At 41.4% G+C, this 27,143-nt stretch overlaps 1 protein-coding gene across 13 annotated transcripts in view, besides 1 other annotated feature; it reads right to left on the bottom strand.

Annotated features, from left to right (window-relative positions):
- Nucleotides 1-27,143, bottom strand: part of FRMPD1 (FERM and PDZ domain containing 1) — a 143,676-nt gene that overhangs the window by 22,422 nt on the left and 94,111 nt on the right. For 6 of the 13 annotated variants that reach the window (XR_929220.3, NM_001371224.1, NM_001371225.1 and 3 more), the window contains 5 exons: nucleotides 16,910-17,067; nucleotides 15,982-16,084; nucleotides 13,088-13,133; nucleotides 5,307-5,414; nucleotides 163-258 (listed from right to left, as the gene is read on the bottom strand). Coding sequence is in view for 12 of the 13 variants with exons in the window: in NM_001371224.1 (NP_001358153.1) it covers nucleotides 163-258; nucleotides 5,307-5,414; nucleotides 13,088-13,133; nucleotides 15,982-16,084; nucleotides 16,910-17,067 (511 nt within the window). In the remaining variant the exon portion in view is untranslated. The other 7 variants (XM_011517805.3, XM_017014482.2, XM_024447454.2 and 4 more) reach the window with 6 other exon arrangements.
- Nucleotides 26,865-27,111: a silencer, noted in NCBI's record as "fragment chr9:37697369-37697615 (GRCh37/hg19 assembly coordinates)". NCBI's record gives its function as "represses an EF-1alpha promoter that drives an FKBP-Casp9 reporter gene in an ReSE screen in K562 erythroleukemia cells {active_cell/tissue: K562}" and the evidence as "EXISTENCE:reporter gene assay evidence [ECO:0000049][PMID:32094911]".

Below are 27,143 nucleotides of genomic sequence, written 5' to 3'. Positions count from 1 at the left end.
GTGCAACGAAATGAGATAACATGGCACCTGGCTTATTATTACAGGGGCTCAGACCACGGTGTTTGTGAGACCACCAAGGCAGATGCAGGGCAAGATGCCTGGGGGGTCCTAGCAGCCAGAACATTCTTCTTGGGAAAAGAAGTTCAAGTTTATTCTTAATACCTTCACGGTTGTGTTTGCCTCAAACTTGAAAGCTTTGGTCTGTCCATTCTCCAAGTATAGCTTGAGCACGTTGGGCATACACAGCAGAGAATTACCCTGGAAAACACAAGAGTATTGTTGTATCCCTGTCTTTTTTTATTCCTTCTGGAGACAGGGTCTCTCTCTGTCACCCAGGCTGGAGAACAGTGGTACGATCTCGGCTCACTCAACCTCTGACTCCCAGGTTCAAGCGACTCTCCCACCTCAGCCTGCCAAATAGCTGGGATTACAGGCACCTGCCACCACGACTGGCTTTTATTTTTTTTTATTTTTTTTATTTTTTTTGACAGAGTCTCACTCTGTCACCCAGGCTGGAGTGCAGTGGTGCAATCTTGGCTCACTGCAACTTCCACCTCCTGGGTTCAAGCAAATTCTCCTGTCTCAGCCTCCCGAGTAGCTGAGACTACAGGCACACACCACCATGCCCAGCTAATTTTTGTATTTTTTTTTTAGTAGAGATGGGGTTTCACCATGTTGGCCAGGCTGGTCTTGAACTCCTGACCTCAGGTGATCCACCCGCCTCAGCCTCCCAAAGTGCTGGGATTACAGGCCTAAGCCACTGTGCCCAGCCTAATTTTTGTATTTTTAGTAGAGACAGGGTTTCACCATGTTGGCCAGCTGGTCTCGAACCCCTGGCCTCAAGTGATCCGCCTGACTTGGCCTCCCAAAATACTAGGATTATAGGCGTGAGCCACCATGCCTGGCCTGTTGTATCCCAGTCACAGCTTTCCTGCCCCTGGGTATGACAAATCCTTGGCTGTCTGGACCTGCCTGGTTTGGAGAGTAGGATCCTCCCTAACCTCCTCACCATGTCAGGGGTTCTTTCTTGGCACTTGGGAATTTCTTCAATGCACAGGCATGCTTTGTCAAGGGATACCCATGAGGACTGTTAGATACGACAAACGGTGGAGAAGAGTGAGCCCTTCTACGAGCGTACTGATAGCACTGCGCGAGCCTGTGCAATGTCTCATGACCATCAGCTCACGTTTTACTGCTGGCTGTACCCTTATGGGAGGCAATTTGGCAAGCCAGATGACCAGCATGCACACTGTTCAACATGGGCCTTTCAGAGATTCTTAGACTCTACCTTGTAGGATTGGGGTGGGATGGAGAGGGTAGGGAAGCCTCTCCTACCCTCATTTTATTGCTGCATTCCCTGTAATGAAATATCACCAAAGGGCAGAGGGATGCTCTCCACTACATTCACCCCAATTATCACCCTAGATGCATGAGGTCCCCTAAGGGACTCTGCCACTCTCGTAGGGCTATTTGGGGAAAAGGCACAGGACTGGTCTGTGTTGGGTGGCCCCATGCCAGCTAGAACTCCTGGGATGGAGCAGGAGAGGGTTTTGGAGAATCTCCCAGCTCTCGTAAGAATATACCTAATGCTAAATGACGAGTTAATAGGTGCAGCACACCAGCATGGCACATGTATACATATGTAACTAACCTGCACATTGTGCACATGTACCCTAAAACTTAAAGTATAATAATAATAAAAGAAAAAAAGAAAAAAAAAAGAAGTGATTCTGAGTGTTTGGTTGCAAATACAAAGGGCCCGTGGGGCTGGTGTCCTCCAGAAGCACAGAGAAATTTTAGAGTTCCCAAGATTTGAGCTAGAATTGCCCCCCTGCACTCATCTCTATAAAGAGTTTGGGTATAAAGCCTACACATGGTGAAACCTTGTCTCTACTAAAAATGCAAAAATTAGCCGGGCGTGGTGGCACACACCCATAGTCCCAGCTACACTGGAGGCTGAGACAGAAGAATTGCTTGAACCTGGAAGGCGGAGGTTGCAGTGAGCCGAGATCACACCACTGCACTCCAGCCAGGGCGACAGGAGCAAAACTCCATCTTAAACAAACAAACAAACAACTTCCAGTTTTTTCAGATGAGAATATTGAATCTTCTAAATATAAAGGTGTTTGTATCTTCTAAGCAAGACTCACAATCATCTCTCTCTTTTTTTTTTTTTGACAGAGTCTCACCCTGTTGCTCAGGCTGGAGTGCAGTGGCACAGTCTCGGTTCACTGCAGCCTCTGTCTCCTGGGTCTATAACTTATTTTAAAAAACCACAGTATTTTTATGGAGGAAAAAGGAAGATGTTCATATTCCAGTGCCATTTCACACTACATCAGGATGAGGGATTTCAGACCGCTTACTCTGCTGCCATCTTACTTCTCTGGCTCTGAGTGTTTACAAATCTTAATTTTGGGGTTTCCCAGTGGGAAATTTTTTCCTTAGTACTTTCTTTGTGATTTAAAAGGTTTACAAAGAATATATTCATAGCAACATTACATAACTACCACCACTTACTTTTCCCTAAGGCTTTTTCCAATTTTTATCTATATCTGTAAATAGTTTTTAGAGAGCTGCAATAATTTAATATGCATGACTCTATGTTTATTTTCTACCCAATATGCATTTCATATACAATTTTTAGGTGGGCTTAATGTTCATAATTTTAATGGATTTATAATATTCTATTGAGTTGAAATATCAGAACTGATTTCACAATTCCTCTGCCCTAGACAATTGAGCATGTTTTTCCATTTTGGGAGCTATTTAAAATGTTGATACTATAGATATCTTTAAATATATGGATTTTCACATTTAAATTATTGTATAGACTAACAGGAATGCAATCTCTGGGTCATTTTTTATAGCAGTCATTAAATTTTGTTTTTTTTCCACTCAAAAAAGTTTAAGCCAATTTATAAAGCCATCAGTAGTGCATGACTATAATTACTTTCTCAGCATCAGGGCTTACATTTTTTCTCTATTTGTGCTCATTTGCTAAGTATAAAGTTTTACTTTTTAATATTTTTTCTTTGTATTTGTTTAACTGTGAGCAAAGTCAAACATATTTCAAATGTTGGTTTACTATCTCAGATCCTTCTTAATACAGTGATTGTGTATCTAAGGCAGTCTTATCATGTTCCAAGGGGAAAAGTTTAACAGCCAATTTTATCATCTTTGAAACACTTGAAAGGATGAATAGACAGGTCACAGGGATGAACTCTTACTTGTTTTGCTATCTCTGCCTTATGTGGCTGATGCAGACTCCCAAAGATTCCCCGAGGTGCCCCAACCTTCCAAGTCTTCCTGGAGACACCTTTTTAGAACCCTGTTCCTTTAAACTCCCCAACCAAAACTCTGAGCCAGTTCTGTAGCCAGTTCAGGTGAAAGTTGTTCTTATCTGGTCCCCTCAGCATAGACAGCAGTGAATGGGAGGTCATGGCCATTTTTACAAATCAACCAGGTGACCCTGTCCACACCTGTCGTGCCTTTATTCTGTCCCTGTCCTGCTAGCTGGTTCTCACCCTCACTACTCATCACTGTGCATGACTCTTGAAATGAAGAGTCATGTGTTGAATCGAAACTTAATTTTTTTTTGAGACGAAGTCTCACTCTGTCGCCAGGCTGAAGCGCAGTGGCGCAATCTCGGCTCACTGCAACCTCCGCCTCCCGGGTTCAAGTGATTCTCCTGCCTCAGCCTCCCAAGTAGCTGGGATTACAGGCACGCACAACCATGCCCAGCTAATTTTTGTATTTTTAGTAGAGATGTGGTTTCACCACGTTGGCCAGGATAGTCTCGATCTCTTTTTTTTTTGAGATGGAGTCTGGCTTTGTCGCCCAGGCTCGAGTGCAGTGGCGCGATCTCGGCTCACTGCAAGCTCCACCTCCTGGGTTCACGCCATTCTCCTGCCTCAGCCTCCCAAGTAGCTGGGACTACATACAGGTGCCCACCACCACGCCCGGCTAATTTTTTGTATTTTTTAATAGAGATGGGGTTTCGCCATGTTAGCCAGGATGGTCTCGATCTTCTGACCTTGTGATCTGCCCGCCTCGGCCTCCCAGAGTGCTGGGATTACAGGCGTGAGCCACCGCCCCCGGCCGGTCTTGATCTCTTGACCTCGAGATCTGCCTGCCTCAGCCTCCCCAAATGCTGGGATTACAGGCGTGAGCCACCGCGCCCAGCAGAATCTAAACTTAATTTTCTAAAGAGACTCAATCCAATTTCACAAACATGACTCAAATATTGCCAACTGACAGGTGTTTTCTAAGTCATGCATTAGGCCTCCCACTGGCCCCTTCCTGAACAAGTCCACCTTTCTCACTCAAGTCTATCTAAAGGTGTGCTCTATTAAGTAGCAGGGCAGGTAGAAAATAAGGGCTCTGTAGATGTGGACCATGTCACCTGGATCCTTTGTTAAAATGGCCTTAGCCCCCACCCCCTGTGACTCCCCCGGCCTTTGCTGGTCTCTATGGTGAGAAGACCAGAAAAGGACAAGTTTCAACTTTGAAGTTTCAAAGTCTAATATTAAGAAATTCAGAATGGCAATAGTTATAGACTACTGGGGGAAAATGTATAAATTATGAATAAATGAGCCTTTTATCCAACACTCCACATTAAAATCAAACTCTAGCCAACATTTTCCCTTTACAAATTTGTCTTCTGAACCCCCAACCCTGGGTCCCTCCATATCAAAAAGGACTAGACAGCACGTCATAGTGAAAAACCAAAGAACCAAAGTCACATGGACCTGGGCTCCTGCATTTTCTCACCATGTGATCTTAGAGGTTAAGTCTCTTAATCTCTCTAGGCCTCTGCTTCCTCTTTTGTTAAAACACCTCCCTTGCAGGGTATTGTGATGTCTAAGGACTGTACACACAAAGTTTAGGTCACATAATAGAGGTTCAATAGATGATGGACTCTTAAAACTAAAAAGCAATCCCATCACCACCGGCACCATTATCAATAGATCACCCTCAGAGAGGATAATAAATTTGAAGATGCATAACGAGAAATTAACTATTGGAATTTGTCGAAATTTCATGGGCAGAAGAATGGAGTCACAGAACAATAGAGGGCCAAACCCAGTGCTCTTCTTCCCAGTCCCCACCCATGGCCCAGAGCTCCCACCAGCAATCCCAGTCCAGGGTCTGCAGGCATCTGACTGGGAGGGCGCACAAAGCCTCTTGCAAACACACTGCACTTCCTCTGCACCCTCTGTGCTGTGGAATTCCAGAGGTTCAGGGAGTTATGTGCCAGAAGGCAGCTCGCCAGCTTCATAATTTCAATCCCTTGACTAGTGACACACCTGGCTGTGTCCACTGATGAGCACTTCTTCAGCAAAGTGCACCTTCACGGGGTTGGTCTTCAGTCTGGCTCTCTTCTCCTCGGTCAGGAAGGACGATTTAGGGACTCCCTGAAAAACAGTAACATGATGCATTTTGGAACAGTGCTTTCATAAAAGCCAGGTATATCTATCTTCTCATTTCTTAAAAACAGAAACTTTGATAGCTGTTGCAGATTCAATTTAAACCCACAGGAAAGGATGATATCCCATTATAGGTATTTTCATAAAATCTAGGGATCCCAAGCCAGATAATGTTCTCGTGTACCTGAGAATAGTTGGACATTCAACATGGTAGCAAAATAGCTGTGATACGATGAAGACAAAGAGTTCTGGCCTGTGAATGGGACTATCTGAATTCCAACTCATGTTTTACTGCTCAATAGTTGTGAGAACTATCTCAAACTCAAATTCTTATGAAAGAAAACCAGGTACGTGTGTAAAGCACAACAAAATAACTGTGTGACTTTGGTCCAGTCCTTGCCGCTCTCTGGCCTTCAGAGTCTTCCCATCTACACAATATAGGAGTTAGACGGGGTTCCCTGAAACTCTGACCCTTATGACTTACCCTTGGCTCCACTTCGCTCTTATCTTTTGGAAGGTACCTTCTTTTCCCAAAGAAGTAAAGAGAGTCATCACAGGTTGGTATGAGTATATGGTGAAGACTTTGGACTAGATTGTATCAGGCCAACTTGTGACACTTGCTGAATAGCATCTTACATGATCTTCTAGACCAACAGGCTGTGACCTTCCTGGATGAAATCCTGATACACTATTTTCCAGCCTAACAGCCTATGTTCCCTTGGTGTGGACAGTCCTTTAGACCAGCCTCTAGAATGTTTCCATGTGTAAAAGTACCAAGATGAAACTCTGGGCCACGTTCTGTGAAGATGGGAGAAGAGATACATAACAACAATCAGGGAAACTGTTGGAAACAGTGTTCATAGACTCAAACACCAACAGACCGAAGCCATGAAGTACATGAAGTGAACAAGTTGCCCTGAAATTTTAATGCAAAAAGATAAATGTGATTCTCATGGGTAACTAGAACCTTGGCATGACAGGATTCATGACTATGACTCAACATCTCAAATATATAATTTGCTTTAAAACAAAAAAAATTAGTAGAAAAGCAGGGAAATAATAATGTTTGCAGAGAAGAAGTACACCTGTAGAAATAACAGAAGGGATAGGAGGAATAAGAGAAAGAAAAAGTTCCAACCCAAAATTAGTGATAAGACTATCAGATTGCTTCGAATGAGCTGAAGACTCCCATACCTCTTGAATCTAGGGGGCTTGTGGACCTATAATATGTAACAGTTGGTATCATCCACGGAACAGAGAATGGAAGAAATGTTAGGAGACTAAAGATGGTCAAATATCAAGTTTTCCGGAAAATGAACATGGAGGATTTAGGAAAACACATATTGATTAGTTTGTCGTTAATTCTTGGCAAAATCAGGCTGCGTGCAGTGGCTCCTGCCTGTAATCCCAGCGCTTTGGGAGGCTGAGGCAGGCAGATCACCTGAAGCCAGGAGTTTGAGACTAGCCTGGCCAACATGGCGAAACCCCATCTCTATTAAAAATACAAAAATTAGCCGAGCGTGGTGGTGCATGCCTTTAGTCCTAGCTACTCGGGGGGCTGAAGCAGGAGAATTGCTTGAATCCAGGAGGTGGAGGTTGCAGTGAGCCGAGATTGCACCACTGTACTCCAGCCTGGATGACAGAGGAAGACTACATCTCAAAAAAAAAAAAAAAATATATATATATACACACACACACACACACACACACACACATATATACACATACACACACACACATACATATATATATATTTTTTTTTTCTCGGCAAAATCCAAGATAAGAGATAGTCAGAGAGCTTTTAGACAGTGATCACTAACAGCCAATATGGAGTTACCAAGAACAAGTCAGAGCCAATCAAGTTCATTTTTCCTTTGAAGAGAGAAGTCCATATTGGTAGACCAGGGTTCTATGGATATAGTAGTATTCCTTCATTCTTGCAAAGCATTTGATAAGGTCTCCTATAATCCCCCTGTGGAAAAGGCCAGATGCAGTGCCATTAGGTGGATTCATAAACTAGTTGATATATATACTCAAAATAGTCCTGATTTCTAACTAAGTAACTTAGTCTCAATCCTCAACAGTGATATTTAGCAATGCCTTGGTTGAAGCCCCAGAGAGTGAACTTGCCAAACCTGTGAAGGACAGAGCTGCAAGGTGTCATCAGATATCAGGCAGCAAGAATTTGGGGGGCAAGGTCAAGGAACTGGGAATCTAAAAGAGGGTGCATGAGAAACTTAAGGACCAGAGATAGCTATGGGTCAAAGGCCAGGAAATCACTAAAAACAAATATAAGAGGGTATAAGGAGCTGGGCTGTCAAGAGCTGCAGGGAACAAGATAAAGTGAGTGGTCAAAGCAACAGGTACAACCACCAACCCCCCAAAGACTCAAAGGAATAAAAAATCAGGGGCAGAACAGAGGAGAGATGCAGAGAGAAAAGGAATCTGCAGGAAGAAAACACTGTTGTCTCTCACCTTCGGGAGATAAATCCTGGAAGAATTAGGCCCAGAGCTGGATCATGCTCAAGAAAATCAACTGGCAGGAAACTGAAGGAACTGGGGTAGACTTAGGAAGAGGAGGTTCCCTGACAGGAAGTCATTGGAAAATGACTACAGCTGTCAACTGTACAAATAAGCCTTTCAGCCCCACAATTCCCTGACTGTAAAATCTCAGCATGCCAGAACACTGGGCAAAAGCAACATGACAGGGATTAATGTGAAGTGTGGTGTTGAGCATCCAAAAAATCAATTGCACAGAATTCAATTCAATTGCACAAGCATGGAACTGAAGGGACGTGGCTTGGAAGCTATCCCTTGGAAAACCAGCTCAGTATTTAGTTGGTCACCAGTTTCACCCAAGCCGACAGTGTGATTGAGCCTGCGAAAATGTTAACCCAATCTTGGGCTTTACTAGCGTTCTTGGTGCATGTCCACTCCCCATGGTACTCAGCACTGGTTGGTCATTGGTGGAACTGTGTTCCTTTCTGGGTGCCACTATTTGGGAGGGTCACCATAAAATTGGACTCTTGTCCCGAAAGCTCTCAGAGAAGTGAAAATTCAGGAAAACCCATCTATGAGGAATGGTCAACGGCACAGTTGTTTAGCCTAGAGAAGGTCACTCTTCCAAATCGTTGCCATTTCATACAAAGTGGACTTGCTCCGAGCTACTTGGTGGGAGTCACAGGGAAGAAGGGCCGTTCTTACATTTGGAACCACCCAACCATGAAACTGGCTGCTTTGGGAAAAAAAAATGCTGACATGAAAATGCCCAACACACAGGCCCCACTGTGGCTCCCGTACTTTTATACCTGAACATCAGCTCTGCTACCATGAATATCTTGGCATCTAGAACATATTATAAACCACCTACTTACACCCACTTCAGCCATCTCATATTTTAAAGAGACAATTCAAAGGATATGAGCTACTCATTATTCTAGAACTTCTAAGCTCTCTCTGGATTCTAAATTAATTCATCACAAAGCAGCAGACCTCAGCTGATAAAATCTCTTTGTGCATGTTTTTCGCTGAACTAAGAGTTAATGTTTAAAAGGGCACTGAAAAGGGACACGTTGGAAAACATTCCTGTATCTTTTGGCAATACCCTCTGCCCTGGGCTACACAATGTCACTCACAAAGGCAGCAGGGTTTACAGAGGTACAACAGCATATCACTAAGGAATGTGGGTTCCGGAGTCTACCTGGAAAGCAACCCAACTTCACTGATTTCTGCATGTGAGACCATGGGCGTGTGAGGCCCATGGCATCCTCATCTGTAAAAGGGGAATAATGAGTGTATCTTCCTCGTAGCATTTCCTTTTGGTGCAAATTAAATAAGACAATAAATACTGGTATTAATATTATTACAAATAATTAATGTATTATAGACAATGAATATAGACAATACAGATCTACAAATTTAAACCAGAACATTTTCATAAAATTCTACGTTCTAGGGAAGCAGTGATTAATGTTGCAACTGTGGATTTTATCATTCCTAATCAATTTCAAGTAATCTGAGGACTCCAAGAATCTACCACGACAACAATGAGGCTCCTTGCTAAAGCAAGACATATATGATCATTTTGCAATGTTTTTAAAATTCTTCAGGGCCAGGCGCAGTGACTCACACCTGTAATCCCAGCACTTTGGGAGGCCGAGGCAGACGGATCACTTGAGGTCAGGGGTTCAAGACCAGCCTGGCCAATATGGTGAAACCCTGCCTCTACCAAAAAATATAAAAATTAGCCAGGCGTGGTGGTGCATGCCTGTAATGCCAGTTACTCAGGGGACTGAGGTGGGAGAATTGCTTGAACCCAGGAGGCGGAGGTTGCAGTGAGCCAAGATCACGCCACTGCACTCCAGCCTGGGTGACAGAGCAAGACTTCATCTCAAAAATAAATAAAATAAGATAAAATAAAATAAAACAAAACAAAATAAAATAAAATAAAATAAAATAAAATAAAATAAAATAAAATAAACTTCTTCGGAGCAGTTCTGGTGAGAGGCCCAGGAGCAGGCTAGCCAATATTTAGGGCATTTCTCAGAGGCACTGGTGGCCACAGACTGGGCTAATGCCAGTTCTCCCTGAGAGACCTCCAGAGCACGTTCCTCTCTTCCTGGAAATCTTGTAGGAATCTCAGGAGTGGTACTGGACACATACCAATTTTTACCTTCCCATACTTTTTATTATTTAAAGGATTCAGCTCTATGCTGTTGCCCTTGCTCCCTACATTAAGTATTTTCTTTTGCTCATTTCTTGGAAACAGATCAGGAAAAAACCTGCCTGATTAAGATTAAGATACTCTCCAATGAGATGATAACCAGCTAAACAAAAAGGACCTAACACCTTCACTACCATTTATACTGATTAGATTTCCCTGTTTCCATATTGGTTTCACATTATTTAATAGACAAATTCTGTTAAGAATAGAAGAACTTCCATTTATCGATACCTAAAATACTTGGTCTGACATATTTATGGCAAACATCTTCATCCTCATTAGGTAGGTTTTTTCCTACTCTATTTCCAAGAAATAAAAACAAAAGATAACATTTGTCAAATACAGAGAGGAGACAACACTTTCTCTGCTTTCTAGTTTATGAAGTGTTTGGACCACAGAAGGTTTATATTTTCATGTAATCAAATCACCTTTGTTCCACTGTGCTTCCTTCCACGCCCTAAATGCGTAGGCAACCTTTCTACAGCCTATGACCAGACAGACATCCATCCATATTGTTTGTATTTTTAGAGTTGAGACTGTATTTTTTCCAAATACTTAAACAAATGTCCAAGTTTGATTTCTTGAATAATTGCCTTTTCTCCCACAGATTTGGAATGCTATGTTTTTCACAAACTATATACATATATATACACACACACACTATATATAGTTATATATAAATGGTCATATATATATAGGTCTCTCTATATATATGGTCTCTCTCTCTCTCTCTACATATATATATATATACGGTCTCACCTTGTCACCCAGGCTGGAGTGCAGTGGTGCGATCTCAGCTCACTGCAGCCTCGACTTCCTGGGCTCAAGCGATTCTCTCACCTAAGCCCCTGCCAGCTATAATCATTTTGTTTTTGTTTTTGTGTTTGTAGAGATGGGATTTTGCCATGTTGCCCAGGCTGGTCTTGAACTCCTCAGCTCAAGCTATCCGCCACCCTCAGCCTCCCAAAATGCTGGGATTACAGGCATGAGCCACTGCACCCAGCCTCACATACTATGTTCCTATACTAGCATCTACTCTTGAACTTTTTATCTGATTACATTGACATGTTCAACATTTCACCAATATCATACTGTTTTAATAATTGTAGCTTTGTTCGTTTTTAAACCTGCCTATCAAGGCCATCCTCATTATCCTTTTTAAAAAAGGTTTTCTTGAGATAAGTCTCACTTTGATATACTTTGTTAAATCCAAATGAAAGTCCCGTAAGAGTTTGCTTGAATTTGTATTAAGTATATATATTAATATAATAACTGATATATTAATAATACTTAGTCTCCCCATCAAGGAACATAGTATGTATCTCCTTTTATGTTATTTTTTTATATATGTCAGTAATAGTCTAGTTTCCTCCACATGAGACTCCCATATCTCTTTCCCTTAAGGTTTTTGTATTTTATATAACTTTTGTCTTTAAAGAAATAGCTTTTGGACTTAACAACATTACAATCTTTCTGTTTTCCAGAGGATCATTTATATTTTAATTTTTATTACTTTATTCTGCTTTATGTTTGTTTTATTAATCTTTTCTTCTAACTTCTTGCACTGAATATTTAATTGATTTACTTCTGTATTAAATGATAAAAACACTCAAGGCCATGAATTTTACTCTGAGTGTAGCTTCAACTGCACATAATTACTTTTAAGAAGTACAGTTCTGGCCTGGCATGGTGGATGACGCCTGTAATCCCAGCACTTTGGGAAGCCGAGGCAGGTGGATCACCTGAGGTCAGGAGTTCAAGACCAGCCTGGCCAATGTGGCGAAACCCTGTCTCTACTAAAAATACAAAAATTAGCTCAGCATGGTGGTGGGTGCTTGTAATCCCAGCTACTTGGGAAGTTGAGGCAGGAGAATCACTTGAACCCAGGAGGTGGCGGTTGCAGTGAACTGAGATCACGCCATTGCACTCCAGTCTGCACGACGGGAGTGAGACTCCATCTCAAGAAAAAATAAAAGAAGTACAGTTTTAATTTTCAATTATTTTCTAAATAGTCTATAATGATAGTTTTTCTTTTTCTATTTGACTCAATCTTTACTTAGGAAATTACATTTTTATTTCCAAATGGCTGAATGGTTTTTAATTGAATTTTTAATAGTTATTAGCTTCTATTTTATTATATTCGGAAAAAGGGACCTGCACAGTTTTTCATTTGGGGAATTTATTGAGTTTTCTTGGTAGCCTGGTATGTGGTCAATTAAATTAGATTATTAAGTACATTATTCAAATTCTCTATGCCCCTCTTTTTTATTTTGGTCTATTTGTGGCCAAGGCTAAGAAGTACTATTAAAATTTCTCACAATGAAAATTTTCTATCAACTTTTGAAAAACTATCTCCTTAGTAGTTTTTCCTTTGAAAATTTGATTATATACTTTCCCTAAATAATACATAAGGAGCTCCTCGGCCTGTGGTGGTTTAGGATTGCCGCTTCCTCCCTGTGCATCATCTATGCCACACCTTGCCGTGTGGTGAGCCTCAGAGCTGATAAAATACTTTCATATCCAACATCTCATTTGGTCCTTCTAACAACCCATTAAACAGACAAGGCAGTTATTGTCATGACTATTTTACAAAAGTGAAAACTGAAACTAAATGATTTTCCCAAAGTCATACCACTCAAACCTGTCTTGAAACTCCAGTTTGGTGCCCTTACCATCATCCTACTGTGCATAGCCATAGGTCCATCTCCTCAGCTGGACCATAAATTCTTGAGGCCTTCACCATATCTGTTTCCTCCACAGTACTTGCATGGAGGAGGTCTTCAGATAACATGGACTGACTGGCCACCCACTGCCGGGCAGCTGTCACCCTCCACCCTTTGCCTTCCCCGCTTACTTTATGAGGGATATCCTCTGGGGGAACAGGGTCTTAGGGCCAAGAATGGTGAAACTAACACACAGGACATAGAAAGAGATTTACCGACGTGCAGCGAACAACTGTGATTGAAAGAGAATCTTCTGCTTCCCTGAAAAAAGAAAGAATAAAGACAAAAACATTTAGTCGTTCTGCGTGATGGATGCACGTGCATGCATACATGTGTGAGCATGTGTGTTAGGGTCAAAAAGACTGGCAGAATGAGTATAAAGCAGCCTCCTTTGCCTTAGCTTTTTTGGCTCAGCAAAACTGAGAAAGATATTGGGAAATGCAGCAACCTGCAAAGGAACTTAAGCTGACCCAGAGAGCTCCTCCCACCTGGAGGGAATTTTCGTAAGTTCACCTCTACCATCTAGTCTATATCTACAGCCACAACATTAATTAAGGCACTTAGCCTTAATTTAGTCCTATACAATGAAGAACTCATCCAGTGACAACCAGCTAGATTTATGTCCCCCAATTTTTTTTTTTTTTTTTTTTTGTGAGACAGAGTCTTGCCCTGTTGCCCAGGCTGGAATGCAATGGCGCAATCTTGGCTTGCTGCAACCTCCGCCTCCCGGGTTCAAAGAATTCTCCTGCCTCAGCCTCCCGAGTAGCTGGGACTACAGGCACCCGCCACCACACCCAGCTAATTTTTTAGTAGAGATGGGATTTCACCATGTTGGTCAGGCTGGTCTCAAACTCCTGACCTGGTGATCTGCCCACCTCGGCCTCCCAAAGTGCTGGGATTACAGGTGTGAGCCACCGTGCCCAACCCAAAAAAATTTTTTAGGAGAAAATATGGCAATAACACAGATAACTCAGGTTGCTATTTCATAAAACTCAGGCTAAACATTTCACTAAACAGAATGAATGTCTGTGGATAACGTTTATCAGATAAAAGCCAAAGAGTTTATGGTGTTTGGGCACACAAAGTCGGTGTAATGAGCCCAATCATATAATCAAGATAGTAGACATCTTTGTCTTGCATTATCTCTTAGATTTCAAAAGTGATCAAATCAAGCAGATAACTGCTTGACCTCTACTTTATATTAGCGGCCAGAACAGAGAAAATCGATCATATTTTCCTTTCTCTTTGCCACTGCTACCATGGAGAAGCAGTTGGCAAAATAATTTCATTTGACTTCTTGCAATATGAACATTTAGGCCAATTGCTGCTGGTGTGTTATTTCCTCAAAAGGATAAACTCAACCCAAGATGTCTAAGTGTCTAGGGACTTCCTCTTTTCCATTTTAAATGAGAACAGGCCTTTTCTGAGATAAATCACAATAAACCCAAATGCAAGTGCTCTAAAAGGACATACTGGCCTCATAGCTATTTGGAGGAATTTGAGATGTTTTCTTGGCATTGTTGTTGTATCTTTTTGTTTTGCTTTGTGTTTTACCTTTTACACGTGACACTGAATAATACATGCTGGTTTTAGACACTGGGAACTAAGCTTAAAAAAAGTAAGGCGTCCTGGGATTCTCACATGCAAAAGACAGCAGAGGGTACAGATGCACAGCACACCTCAAGTCATGCATCCCTGCTCAGAAGCCTTCAACTGCTCGCCCTTCCAGGGGGAGAATCACACTGAAACATGCTGTGCTGGCATTCAAGACCTTCTATCATCTGGACTTCACTTCCTAGAACTTTTCTGCAGGCAAACTGAACTGCTCAGCAGCCCCTACTTCCCACCCAGTTGCTTCTGTTTACCTCTTTGCCTGAATCACCCTTCACCTCCATCTTTTGGACCAAATTTTACCCAGCATTAAAGACACAACTGAAATATTTCTGGGCCCTTCTCTGTTTTGTCAGCCTACAACTTCTGCCCAAGTTGGAGGACTCTCCAGCATTTACAGTGTATTTCCTTGGCTTTTCTTTTCTTTTTCTTTCTCTCTTTTTTTGAGATGGAGTCTTGTTCTGTCACCCAGGCTGGAGTGCAGTGGTACAATCGTGGCCCATTGCAACCTCTGCCTCCCGGGTTCAAGCGATTCTCCTGCCTCAGCCACCCGAGTAGCTGGGATGGGAAGACCACTTGAGCCCAAGAGTTTGAGACCAGCCTAGGCAACACAGCAAGTCCCCATCTCAAAAAAAAAGGGAAAAAAAAACAATTAATACCACCCCAAAGCCAGATCAGCCATTCATGAAAAATCACAAACTGAATTTTATATATATATATATATCTCTTCAAGTTAGCTTTCATCTACCTCTGATTCTCGTCTGTCTTTATACTAGTCATTAGAACAATGTTGAGTGAAAAATTTAAAAGCCAAAGCTTCATGTGCCCTTAAAATGTCTGCTTGTCCTCTTCACTCCTATCAATGGCACTCCTCCGTCTTAAAGTCTGGGTTGCCAATTCCCAGCGCTAACCATATTCACTCATTTAACTGAGCACCCACTGAGCCCTGGTCTCAGGAAATCATTGTCTAGGTAAAAAGCGAGGCATTTTCATAAGTCACAATGACACCAGACAGAAGGTTTGGAGGTGCTACATCAATGAAACTACATATATGCCAACCAAGATGCACCTGCAATTATATTTAAGAAGATATATCAAGAGGGATAAAGAAGAACAGATTTGGCATCAATTTAGTTCAATCTTTGGCATATGTTACAACGTGCCTATAAATCCTTAGAGGGTAGGGCCTGTGGGTTATTTATGATCATTACATTCCCTGCATGCTTAGCACGGTGTCTTGGGCATAGCAGGGCTTTGACAAATACAGCACTCTGTGCCTCCCAAGCTCTTTTGTAGGCAAGTGAGAGAGAGTGGACTGTAACAGCCACTAACAAGAAGCCGTTTTAATAGATGGAACTCTAAAACGAGGCTGTTTTTGCTGCTTTAAAGGAGACTTAGCCTTATTAAAATCAGGGGATCAGTTATGCCATTCCTGTTGCCCATCTTTGTTCTTTGATAATCTGTGCAATTCTGTAGATGATGGAAGACCATTTAGTACCTGAGAATATCGACTGCTCGTTCCCAGGAAAGGTCTTCAGCAGGCTCATTGTTCATTTGGAGGATCTGATCACCAGGGAAAAGCTTGCCGTGAGCAGAGCCTCCTGTTGGACAGAAAATAAGTAATTGGTGCTCATGCCGGGAGGACCCAGACTCTATGTGTAATAGCGGCACAGTTAAATGGCACCCTGATCCAGTTCCCAGGGGCACTGGCTCACTCCCCCGCCTTCAGTCAGGCTTGGGCTCATGTGGATCTTAATTTTCCTGTTTATAAACCATGGATAATGTACCTATCATCTATCACCAACTTCCAGGGATGTTAGAAGACTGTCCTGAGAAAGAAAACTAGCAGAAACCTTCTAAATCAATAGAGTTGGCCAGTAAATCTACTCCATTCATCTCTAAAAAACTCTGGTGTGTATGTGTAGTAAATAGAAATCAATACATTTTAACGAATCCCAGATTAACACACCTCAATTATGAAAACAAGCACTGGACTTTCCCCACCTGCTCCTCTCCACCCTGGTACAGCCTGTATTTCACAAGGTTCAAATGAAAACAAATCAATGGTTTCTATTACTGTCTGACCAGAAAGTATCCCCAGCTAGGAGCGTGTGGGGTTCAAAGAGGAAGGCTAGCTTAGCCAAATACTTTCACTGCCCCTGAGACCAGCCAGGGAGCCAAGGGTGGGCAACGCCCTAGCCAAGGCCAGTGGGAGCCTGGGGTTTGGAGCGGCAAGTGCACTTGAGGCTTCCTCCCTCCCAGCATCAAAGTAAGGTGCAAAGCCCAAGACAGAATTAGGTGTGCCTTTTCTAACTTCCCAGGTAGGATTTTCTGCATTTTGTTATAGGATAGAGAGATCGGGGAGATTTGGGGCTATTTCCCCTTAAGAAACCAAACTCCTTTCTCATTTCCCAGTCATCCCCTACCTGCTGTGACAGCCACCACTGTAAGGGGAAGGCTCTCAGAAATGTGAAATCCATAGTCCTGGAGGAGGGTGTCTTTGTCTATCTTTACTGTGTGTCGCACAGGGATGAGGGTCTGAGTTGGGTTCCTGGCGGGCCCATCAGCTGCAGCAACTTTAGCCCTGGAAGAGAAGGAGTATGTAAAAAAGAGAAAGAGAAGACTCTAGTTGTTGGTCACGAACTGGGTCAGCCCTAAGCATCATGGAGAAAGATGCAGAACTGAGCAGACACCAATTCTCCTCTTGAGACAAATAAGACACCAACTCCACTAGCAGAACTTAGGACTGTCCTCTAAAAGAGAAGTCGTATTGCCAGGCATTCTTAATGAGCTAATGCTAAATATCTAGAAAGCGCCCAGGAAGTGCTATGGACACACAGAGAAGGGGGAGAGCAGTTTCACCTTTGTAGGGCAGGGAATAGGGAATCAGGGACGCATCTGGTACTTGGAAGAGGTGGCATTTGAGCTGCACTCTGAGACATGTCTAGGGTATACCTATACAGCCCAGATCCTGGCACACAGAAGATATTCAATAACTGCTGCTGAGTGAATCAATGAATGAATGGATGGATGGATGGATGGATGGATGGATGGATGGATGGACGGACTGACAGAAGAACAGGCAGATGGGCATCCCAGGCAGGACATACTGCTGGAGTCAGAGGTACAGGAGAGGAAAAACATGGATGGTGAGCAGAAACAAGGAGTTGTCAGGTTCAGATGTTTGATGACGGATAATTTTATAGCAAGATTTTGTCTTTGGTGATGTTTTTCTTTGTTTCTTTATGATGAATTTTGCTTCCCTTTAAGCTTTGTAACTGCAAGGTTTCCAATATAAAATCTCAGATAGCAAGGACTCCCTCTATATCAACTTTTAAAACATGTATGTTCCTTAAAAGCAGGAAAGTAATATTTTCTATCTCTCAAAGAGAGAAACCACAAAGCGAGTCACAAGTTATTTGTCATTCACCTGTGGCAAATGATTTTTCCCTCTAACAGTCAGTGGTTCTTTCTGAGGAAGGTCAAATAGTGATGGGATGAGGTGTTTATTGTCATTATGAACAACAGAAATGTGAAGGAGTAATAGCTGTCTTGGGACTCTGCGGTTAAGGTCTATCATTTATTCTCATCCATTTACCAAACACTTTCAGGAACCCTGCCTAATGCAATAGGCCCTCACTTATCTGAAAATCATCTCCCTCTCATTTATAATGATCTCCAGTTTCAACAAGGATCCGGAAATATGAAAAACTGTCTCACAGAGCCAAAATGTAAGTGACAAGCACAAGTCCAAAGTCTCGTGTACACTATCCACCAAGGATCCCCCCCAGGCCCTGACTTAGAGCAAATTTAGGATCTGTATGAATAGATGACCCAGCCCACACAACCTAGAAGCAGAGGGAGTCTTTCTTCTAGGCCAGCATGCAGGTAATACTGAGCTGGAGCAGCAGAGAGACCTAATGAGAGGGAAGAAACAGAAAACTGAAAATTCACACTAAATAAAGCCCATAGCTCTTCCTGATTTTTTTTCAATCTTTTATTTATTTATTTATTTATTTATTTATTTATTTATTTATTTTGAGGGAGGGTTTTACTCTGTCACTCAGGCTAGAGTGCAGTGGCATGATCTCAGCTCACTGGTTCAAGCGGTTCTCATGCCTCAGCCTCTTGAGTAGCTGGGACTACAGGCTCGTGCTACCACACCCGGTTAATTTTTTGTATTTTTAGTAGGGATGGGGTTTCTCCATGTTGTCCAGGCTGGTCTCAATCTTCTGAGCTCAAGTGATCTGCCTCTCAGCCACCCAAAGTGCTGGGATTACAGGCAGGAGCCACCGCACCCAGCCTATTCCTGATTTTGTAAAAAACATTTAGAGCTATAAAAAGGTTTTTCTAAATGCAATAAATAACACTCTATACTAAAAGTCAAAAATCAACATTTGACATTACAGGTGCAGTGCCTCATGCCTGTAATCCCAGCACTTAGGGAAGCTGAGGCTAGCTAATCACTTGAGTCCCAGAGCTCAAGACCAGCCTGGGCAACATGGCAATACCCTGTCTCTATTAAAAATACAAAAAAATAGCAGGACTTGGTGGTGTACACCTGTGGTACCAGCTACTCAAGAGGCTGAGGTTGCAGTGAGCTGAGATCATGCCACTGCTCTCCAGCCTGGGTGACAGAGCGAGACTATCTCAAAAACAAACAAACAAACAATTTGGTGTTTTATTTAATGTAGTAGGATAAATGCTAATAATAGTTATCAGGGAAGGAAAAATGACAAGAGGAATAATGAGCACAGGAATGGAAAAGTACCACCTTATTATTTTTTTTTTGTTTTTTAGCAGATGACATTCACACAGAAAATGATGAACAAAGAAAATTTTTAGTGCCAGAAGATAAGTTTAGTGGAGATGCAGGATAAAAACACAAAACACAGCCACAAAAAGGATCAAACAATTCATTAAAAGCAGATTAGCTGAATGTACATTCGGTGTTAGGCATTCTTAATGAGTGAATGCTAAATATCTAGAAAATGCCAAGAAAGGATTCAAGTAACAAAACTAGTGATGTGTACTAATGTAATTCAGGGGAAGAAGGATTTATTTAAAGAAAATAATATAACTTTCCTTAAAGCAATAAAGGAAAACACAATAATTGGGTTAAAGTTATGCTGGGTTCCTGGATGGAAACACTAAGTATCAAAAAAAAAAAAAGTTCTAAATTAAATAGAGATTTAATGTAATATAAATAAAAAATTCTTCCAGATTAAAAAACAACTTGACAAATTGATGGTAATCACAGCAATAACGACAATAATAATTAATAACATTTATGAATACTAACTATATTTTAGGGAGTGATTTAACATTATATATATATATATATCTCACTCAACCCTCAAACTTTTGAGGTGGGTACAATTATTATTCCTGTTTTATAGGTGAAAAGACTAAATCTTGCTCTGAGAGATTTTAACTTGCTTAAAGTCATACAGCTGGGAAGCAGGTTTCAAATTGGGGCTACTTTCTTCAATAGGCACACTAGCACTGCTTCTAGAGCAGTGCGGTCCAAATGAAATATACACACCGCATACGTAAATTTAAGTTTTCTAATAGCTACATAAAAACAGGAAAAAAATAAGTGAAATAAATTTTAATAACATATATTTTATTTAACTCAATATATCCAAAATAGTATCATTTCAACTCGTAGTTAATACAAAAAATTATTGATGAGAGATTTTGCATTCTTTCATATTAAGTCTTCAAAATCCAGGGTCTATTTTACACTTACAGCGCGTATCAATTTGAACTCTAAATTTCTATCAGAAATACTTAGATTTCAGAAAAGTTACAGTTGAAAAGTAAGCACTCCTTTCAGACAAAGGCAATAATCAAAACTGCATAGTGTGGCTTTCACCAATGAAACTGAATAGAAATTCTAGAAAGTCCTTTAAGTGTCTGGAAGTTTCTTAAAAGACTAAACATGGTGTACAACATGATCCAGCAATTGCACTCCTGGGTATGTACCGGAGAGAAATGAAAATAAATGTCTACACAAAAACTTGCACATGAATATTTATAGCAGCATTTTCTGTAAATGTCCAAAAGTGGAAACAACTCGAATGTCCATCAACTAATGACATGGATAAATAAAATACCGTATTCCAGAACAGAATATTTGGCAATAAAAAGGAATGAAACATGGATGAATCTGGCTAAGTGAAAGCCAGTCACAAATGACCACATATTGTATGATTCCATTAACATGAAATATCTAGAACAGACTAATCTATAGAGACAGAAAGTAGATTAGGGGTTGTCCAAGGCTTCAGGGAGGGAGGTTTGGGAGGTTTGGGAGTCACTGCTAATAGGTATAGGTTTCCTTTGTGGGGGATGAAAACCTTCCAAAATGGACTTGTGACAGTTGCAGATCTGTGAATACACTAAGAACCATTGAATTGTACACTTCAAATGGGGGAATTGTATGGTATGTAAATTATCTATCAATAAAGCAGCTGAAAATAAGTAAATTTAAAAAAATCCTGAAGTGGGGAAAGCTTATAATACAAATATATGAAGAATGGGCATAAATACACATAGTAGATACCCACATTTCACATGCTCAAAGCAAGTGAATTGACAACTCTCACATGAAGAAAGCAAGCTGGAAATTAACACAGAAAATGTACAACCTTATCAAAGAAGCACAACTGAAAGGGCTATGGAGTACTATTATGTGTCATACCAAATATGAATAAAAATAATAAGGCCCAACAGGTACTAGTCCTGAGATTAAAGAATGACAATACAAACTGGCAATTCAATCTCTCTAGGAAATCATTGGTGAACCTGTACCATGAATTTAAATTTTAAATTTGATCTTCTGTTACCATTTTGACCGGTATTCCTTGAACTGATGACCACAAAGGAAAAAATATCATATTATTTATCCTGGACCATGAGTTCCTAGAAGACAAGGGTGGTACCCATTCATCTCCATGTCTCCCATGCCTAGTAAAGTTCTAGAACAGAGTATGAGTTCAATAAACCCTGGCTCTTAAGTATTCAAAAATATCAATCTCAGCTTTATTTAGAATAGTGGGAAAACTCAAAACAACCCGATAGGGAATAGATAAACCAAACACAACAAAGAATGACCTCGAAGACTCTACATCAAAAAGTATTGTGGGCCTAAAAGCTTCAGACATACAAAGAAACACAATCTAGAAAATACCCTTCCAGAGCACTGTGTAAGCTATGGTTTACCCTTCCTAAGTGAGAACTAGAATTATTCTCCTCCTAATAATTCCCCACCACCCACAGAACAAAAGCCAAACTCCTCAACCTTGCCTTCGTGGACCTGTGTCCTGAGGCTTCAGTCCCTAGCCAGCATCCACCCACCACTCCCCTTCCCAGGCCTTCACTCCAGACTGATCTTACCTCTAACAGTTTTACCCCTGGGCCTTGGCTCACACAACTGCCTCTGCAGAAAGTGTGAGGCCAAGTCAAAGTCCAGCTCAAAGGTCATATCTTCCTTCTCTGATTTCCTAGCCAGACCTAAGTTCTCACATCTTGGAGCTCTGACCCTCTCTTATGGCCCCGAGCATCCAAACCTTTATTTAAAGTTATCTGACTCCATATATTGTTACCCTTAACAGACTATTTATTCCTTGGAAACAGGAACCACATTTTGTCCACCTCTGTATTTCTCACATTGTCAAGTGAAGATCTTTGCTCACGGGAAGCATCAGTGCTTATTGGGCAAATAAATGAGCAAAATACTGTACATATCTAATATGTTACTGCTAATGTAGTTGTACCTCTAATATAATTAGTGAAAAGTGAAAAGGCATATACAACCAGTAATGAACAGCAATTTGAATATAAGTAACAGAGATGAAACTTTGTCATTTTCCTTTATGTTTGCTTAACTCGATATATAGCTCAACCCTATGGCTATTGCCCTAATCAGAACTTATCTTCTCCGTGTCTCAGAGCTCAGTAAATGGTATCATAAGGATAATGACAATTGCTCAAGCCAGAATCCCAGAGTCATCCTTGACTTTCCTCCACTCTTATCCTTCAAATCACTCACAACACGAGAAGATCTCAAAAAGGGTCCATTTCTTTCCATCTCCACAGCCACCATTCTGTTTCAGGCCCCATCACCAGCCCTACTGACAGGTTTCTACTAGGCTGCTAACTGGTCTCCCCACTTTCCATTCTCATCTTTCCTGAATGATTCTCCATCTAGCAGCCAGACTGATTTTATAAACACAATTCTGTTCATGTGTTTCCCCTGACTGAATGGCATAATCCAAAATCCTGAATATGGCTTAATACAGCTCCCGCCCATCACTCCAGCCTCCAGGACCAAGTCATTCATTCTCTTTGATATTTTTGTTCCAGTCAAACTAGCCTACTCTAAGTTCCTCAAACACATTGGCCTTTGGACAAGCTCTTCCCTCTGTCTAGAATAACTCACCTGCCTCCAAAACACACACACACACACACACACACACACACACGTACATGCACACACACGCGCGCACACACACACACACACAATTTCCCCAACATATCCAATCATGCTGTCTACCTGCCCAACTCCTACTCAGTCTTCTGATTTTGGTGGAAATATCTCCTACAAAATGTACCTACAGACCAGTGCAAAGTCTCTTGTCCTCTCTGGACTAGTTTGTGTAGCAAGAACCACATATTTCTTGTCCCATGTGCTGAACTCAGTACCAGCCATAGAGTAGGGTTAATAATTGTTTGGAGAACAAAAGAAAGAACAAACCTTACTACAGGGTTTCAACAGAATCCATTTTGATGCTTTTCAAATGGGCAGGCTCCGTTATCTTCCACTTGGCAGAGTGCGGTCCTCCACAATGGTGGACAAATGACATTGCACTGTATTGACTAATCCCTGGACAGTGTCAGTGGCTTTGGCCCAAAGTCTGGATTTGACATTTTCCCCAAAGGCCATGTTCTAGCTTTTGTTTGGAAAGGGATTAACCTAAGTACATGACCAAACCATGGCCGCTCCTCATAGAGAACATTTAATATTGACAGTAAGCTAAAGGAAATGATCTCTGTAACAACATTTCCTCCTCTGAAGCATCTTATAAATATCAAACTAAGCACTGATCTCAAAACATGTTTCTGCTGCCTTTGTAATCGTTTCAAACCATAAATGTGAGGTCATTTCTGTGATCTTACACTGGAAGAACAGAAGCCCTATAGTTACACTAATGAAATTCCTGCCAGATAACTGGATCTCCCCTAAGGTAGAACCAGAACAAACATGTTACATTTATCATGAAAACAGTCTCACATAGATGAATTCTACTTTTCATAGCTCACAAGTTTATACTGAGCTGGTTAATAACACTGAAAAGGAAAACTACCAGATGGATACTGATTGCACTTCACATATTCTCTGGCTTTTTATCTGCTCTCTGATATGTTGGAAAATGTATTCTACCTCTATCCTGTAACAACAAAGAATTCACCTCCGAGTTCCAGCAGGATGTGGAGAAACAATTTTGAATCTATGTTTAAACACTTTATTATGTTCAGCTTGAGTGATTTTAAAAGCTAAATCTGGTATAAACTGGATTTCATAACGTAAAGACGATTCAAAGAAACCAGAAATAGAGGCATCAGTCTGTACCAGAAGGAAATGTAGCATGTAATCACAATCATAGGAATGCACTTGTGGTTGTAACAGTTTCTAGGGGGCCATTCACTGTGGAGATTGTGAGGGTAGTGCTCCTACAGTTGAAAGGAGAAATTCTTCCATTATTACTTTAAAAACAGGATTCAGGAAATAATGGCAACTCTGCAGATGCAGTCCAGGAGCCTTCCAGACTACCCTCAAATCTCTCTACTTTTGCCTATGGGTCAAGACACAATAAAAAAAAATTGTTGCCTAAAAGGGTCTTTCTACACCATTAATAGTATTAGAAAGGTCAACAGAATTAGAAAGGTTTTAACAAAACCATTCTTAAAATTAGTAAATAGACTTCTTATAGTTGTAATAACCAAGTAAGTTTGGAAAGTGTGTAAAACCAGCAGCAAGGGCTTCTGACACTAAGATGCCAAAATGTGTGTATATGTGTGTGTGTGTGTGCGTGCATGCATACATGTGCATGTGTGTGCCTGTGTGCATACATGCATGGGTGTGTACACATGTATGCATGTATGTGCCTTGTGTCATTGTGTGTGTAGACATGCATGTATGTTCATTAGTATTAACATTCAAGACAAGTTAAAAGAAATATCTTTTCAAGCCCTGAGGATACAACCAAGCAGTGAAGAAAGCACGATGTCACATTAAGTTCTTTATGCTTCTTTAGATCTCGCTCTATAAAACTAACATTTCTAGATTAAGCATAAGAGAATTTAGTAAATCTTGGTGGGGTGCGGTGGCTCATGCCTGTAATCCTAACACTTTGGGAGGCTGAGGCGGGCAGATCACTTCAGATCAGGAGTTCAAGACCAGCCTGGGCAACATGGTGAAACCCCGTATCTTCCAAAAATACAAAAATTAGCTAGGCGTGGTGGCGCATGCCTGTAATTCCAGCTACTCAGGAGGCTGAGGCACGAGAATCACTTGAACCCGGGAGGTGCCAGTTGCAGTGAGCCAAGATCACAACACTGTACTCCAGCCTGGGCAACAGAGCAAGACCCTATCTCAAAAAAAAAAAAAAAAGAGAGAGACAGAGAGAATTCAGTAAATCTCATGCTTATTTGTTTTAATAGTATAATAAAATGATTCTAAACTTCATATGACAGAATAGGTGGGTAAGACTAAAAGCACTGAAAATGAAGAGTAATAAAAGCTTAGTTTAATAGGTAATGAGGCTGGTCACGGTGGCTCACGCCTGTAATCTCAGCATTTTGGGAGGCTGAGGCCAGTGGATCACTTGAGGTCAGGAGTTCGAGACCAGCCTGGCCAACATGAAACACTGCCTCTACTAAAAATACAAAAATTAGGCCGGGTGTGGTGGCTCACACCTGTAATCCCAGCACTTTGGGAGGCCGAGGCAGGTGGATCACCTGAGGTCGGGAGTTCGAGACCAGCCTGACCAACATTGAGAAACCCTGTCTCTACTAAAAATACAAAAGTTAGCCGGGTGTGGTGGTACATGCCTGCAACCCCAGCTACTCGGGAGGCTGAGGCAGGAGAATCACTTGAACCTATGAGGCAGAGGTTGCGGTGAGCCAAGGTTGCACCATTGCACCGCAGCCTGGGCAACAAGAGTGAAACTCCATCTCAAAAATAAATTTAAAAAAATACAAAAATTAGCCAGGTGTGGTGGCGCATATCTGTAATCCCAGCTACGCGGGCGACTGAGGCAGGAGAATCTCTTGAACCCAGGAGGTGGAGGTTGCAGTAAGCCAAGATCGCACCACTGCACTCCAGCCTGGGCAACAGAGGGAAACTATATCTCAAAAAAAAAAAAAAAAAAAAAAAAAAAAAAGATAATGAGATGCATAATACTATTGTAACGTAAGTAATTTTAATACAGCTGTGTAAAAGTAGGCAGTTACATCAATGGAACAGAATAGCCAGCCCAGAAACAGGTCCAATCTCCCACTCACAGACGCCAGAATTTCACATACAATAAAGGAGGGGTCAGTAAAGAATGAATCAAGAAGGCAAAGATCACTCACAATTAATGGTAATATGAATGACTACTTACTAATTTGGAAAAAAAATCCAGTTAGATCGTCATCTCCTAGCATATACTAAAATAAACTCCAACTTAAAGAATTAAATATAAACATTTTAAGCTATTAAATTGAATTGAAAAACTTGTATTGGATGAAGATTTTTGTAAGCTTAGAAGCAATGAAAGAAATTGCGAAGGAAAAGAATCCCATTTAACTATGTAAATTGGTATTATTATTTTTTTTAAGACAGAGTCTCACTCCATTGCCCAGGCTGGAGTGCAGTGGCACGATCTTGGCTCACACAACCTCTGCCTCCCAGGTTCAAGAGATTCTCCTGCCTCAGCCTTCCAAGTAGCTGGGACTAGAGGCACGCGCCACAATGCCCAGCTAATTTTCGTATTTTTAGTAGAGACGGGGTTTCACTATGTTGGCCAGGCTGGTCTCGAACTCCTGACCTTGTGATCTGCCCATCTTGGCTTCCCAAAGTGCTGGGATTACAGGCGTGAGCCACCACGCCCAGCCGAAGAACTGGTAATATTAAGTGGAAAAATATACTATCATCAAATCTTTGTCATTTTATCACTTCTGTAGTCATACGAAGCTATAAAGAAGATGACAATTTGATTGAAAGCAAAAGGTTAAAAATTAATTAGTTTATGATGTAATGTCACTGTGTTGCAGCTTTTATTAAGCAGTTTGCATTGCATTATTTACACAGAAATTCAAAACATGTCACAGAGACCTTTTGGGAGGTTAGCTATTTCTTTTCTTTTCTTTTTTTTTTCTTTTTGAGACAGAGTCTTGCTCTTTCACCCAGGCTGGAGTGCAGTGGCGCTATCTCGGCTCACTGCAAGCTCCGCCTCCCTGGTTCACGCCATTCTCCTGCCTCAGCCTCCTGAGTAGCTGGGACTACAGGCGCCTGCCACCACGCCCGGCTAATTTTTTTGTTTTTTTTTTAGCAGAGACGGGATTTCACCGTGTTAGCCAGAATGGTCTCCCAAAGTGCTGGGATTACAG

This window comes from Homo sapiens, chromosome 9, assembly GCF_000001405.40.
Source record: "Homo sapiens chromosome 9, GRCh38.p14 Primary Assembly".
Taxonomy (NCBI): Eukaryota; Metazoa; Chordata; class Mammalia; order Primates; family Hominidae; genus Homo; species Homo sapiens.
Note: the sequence above shows the minus strand (reverse complement) of the source record. Positions and strands in the feature narration are given on the sequence as shown.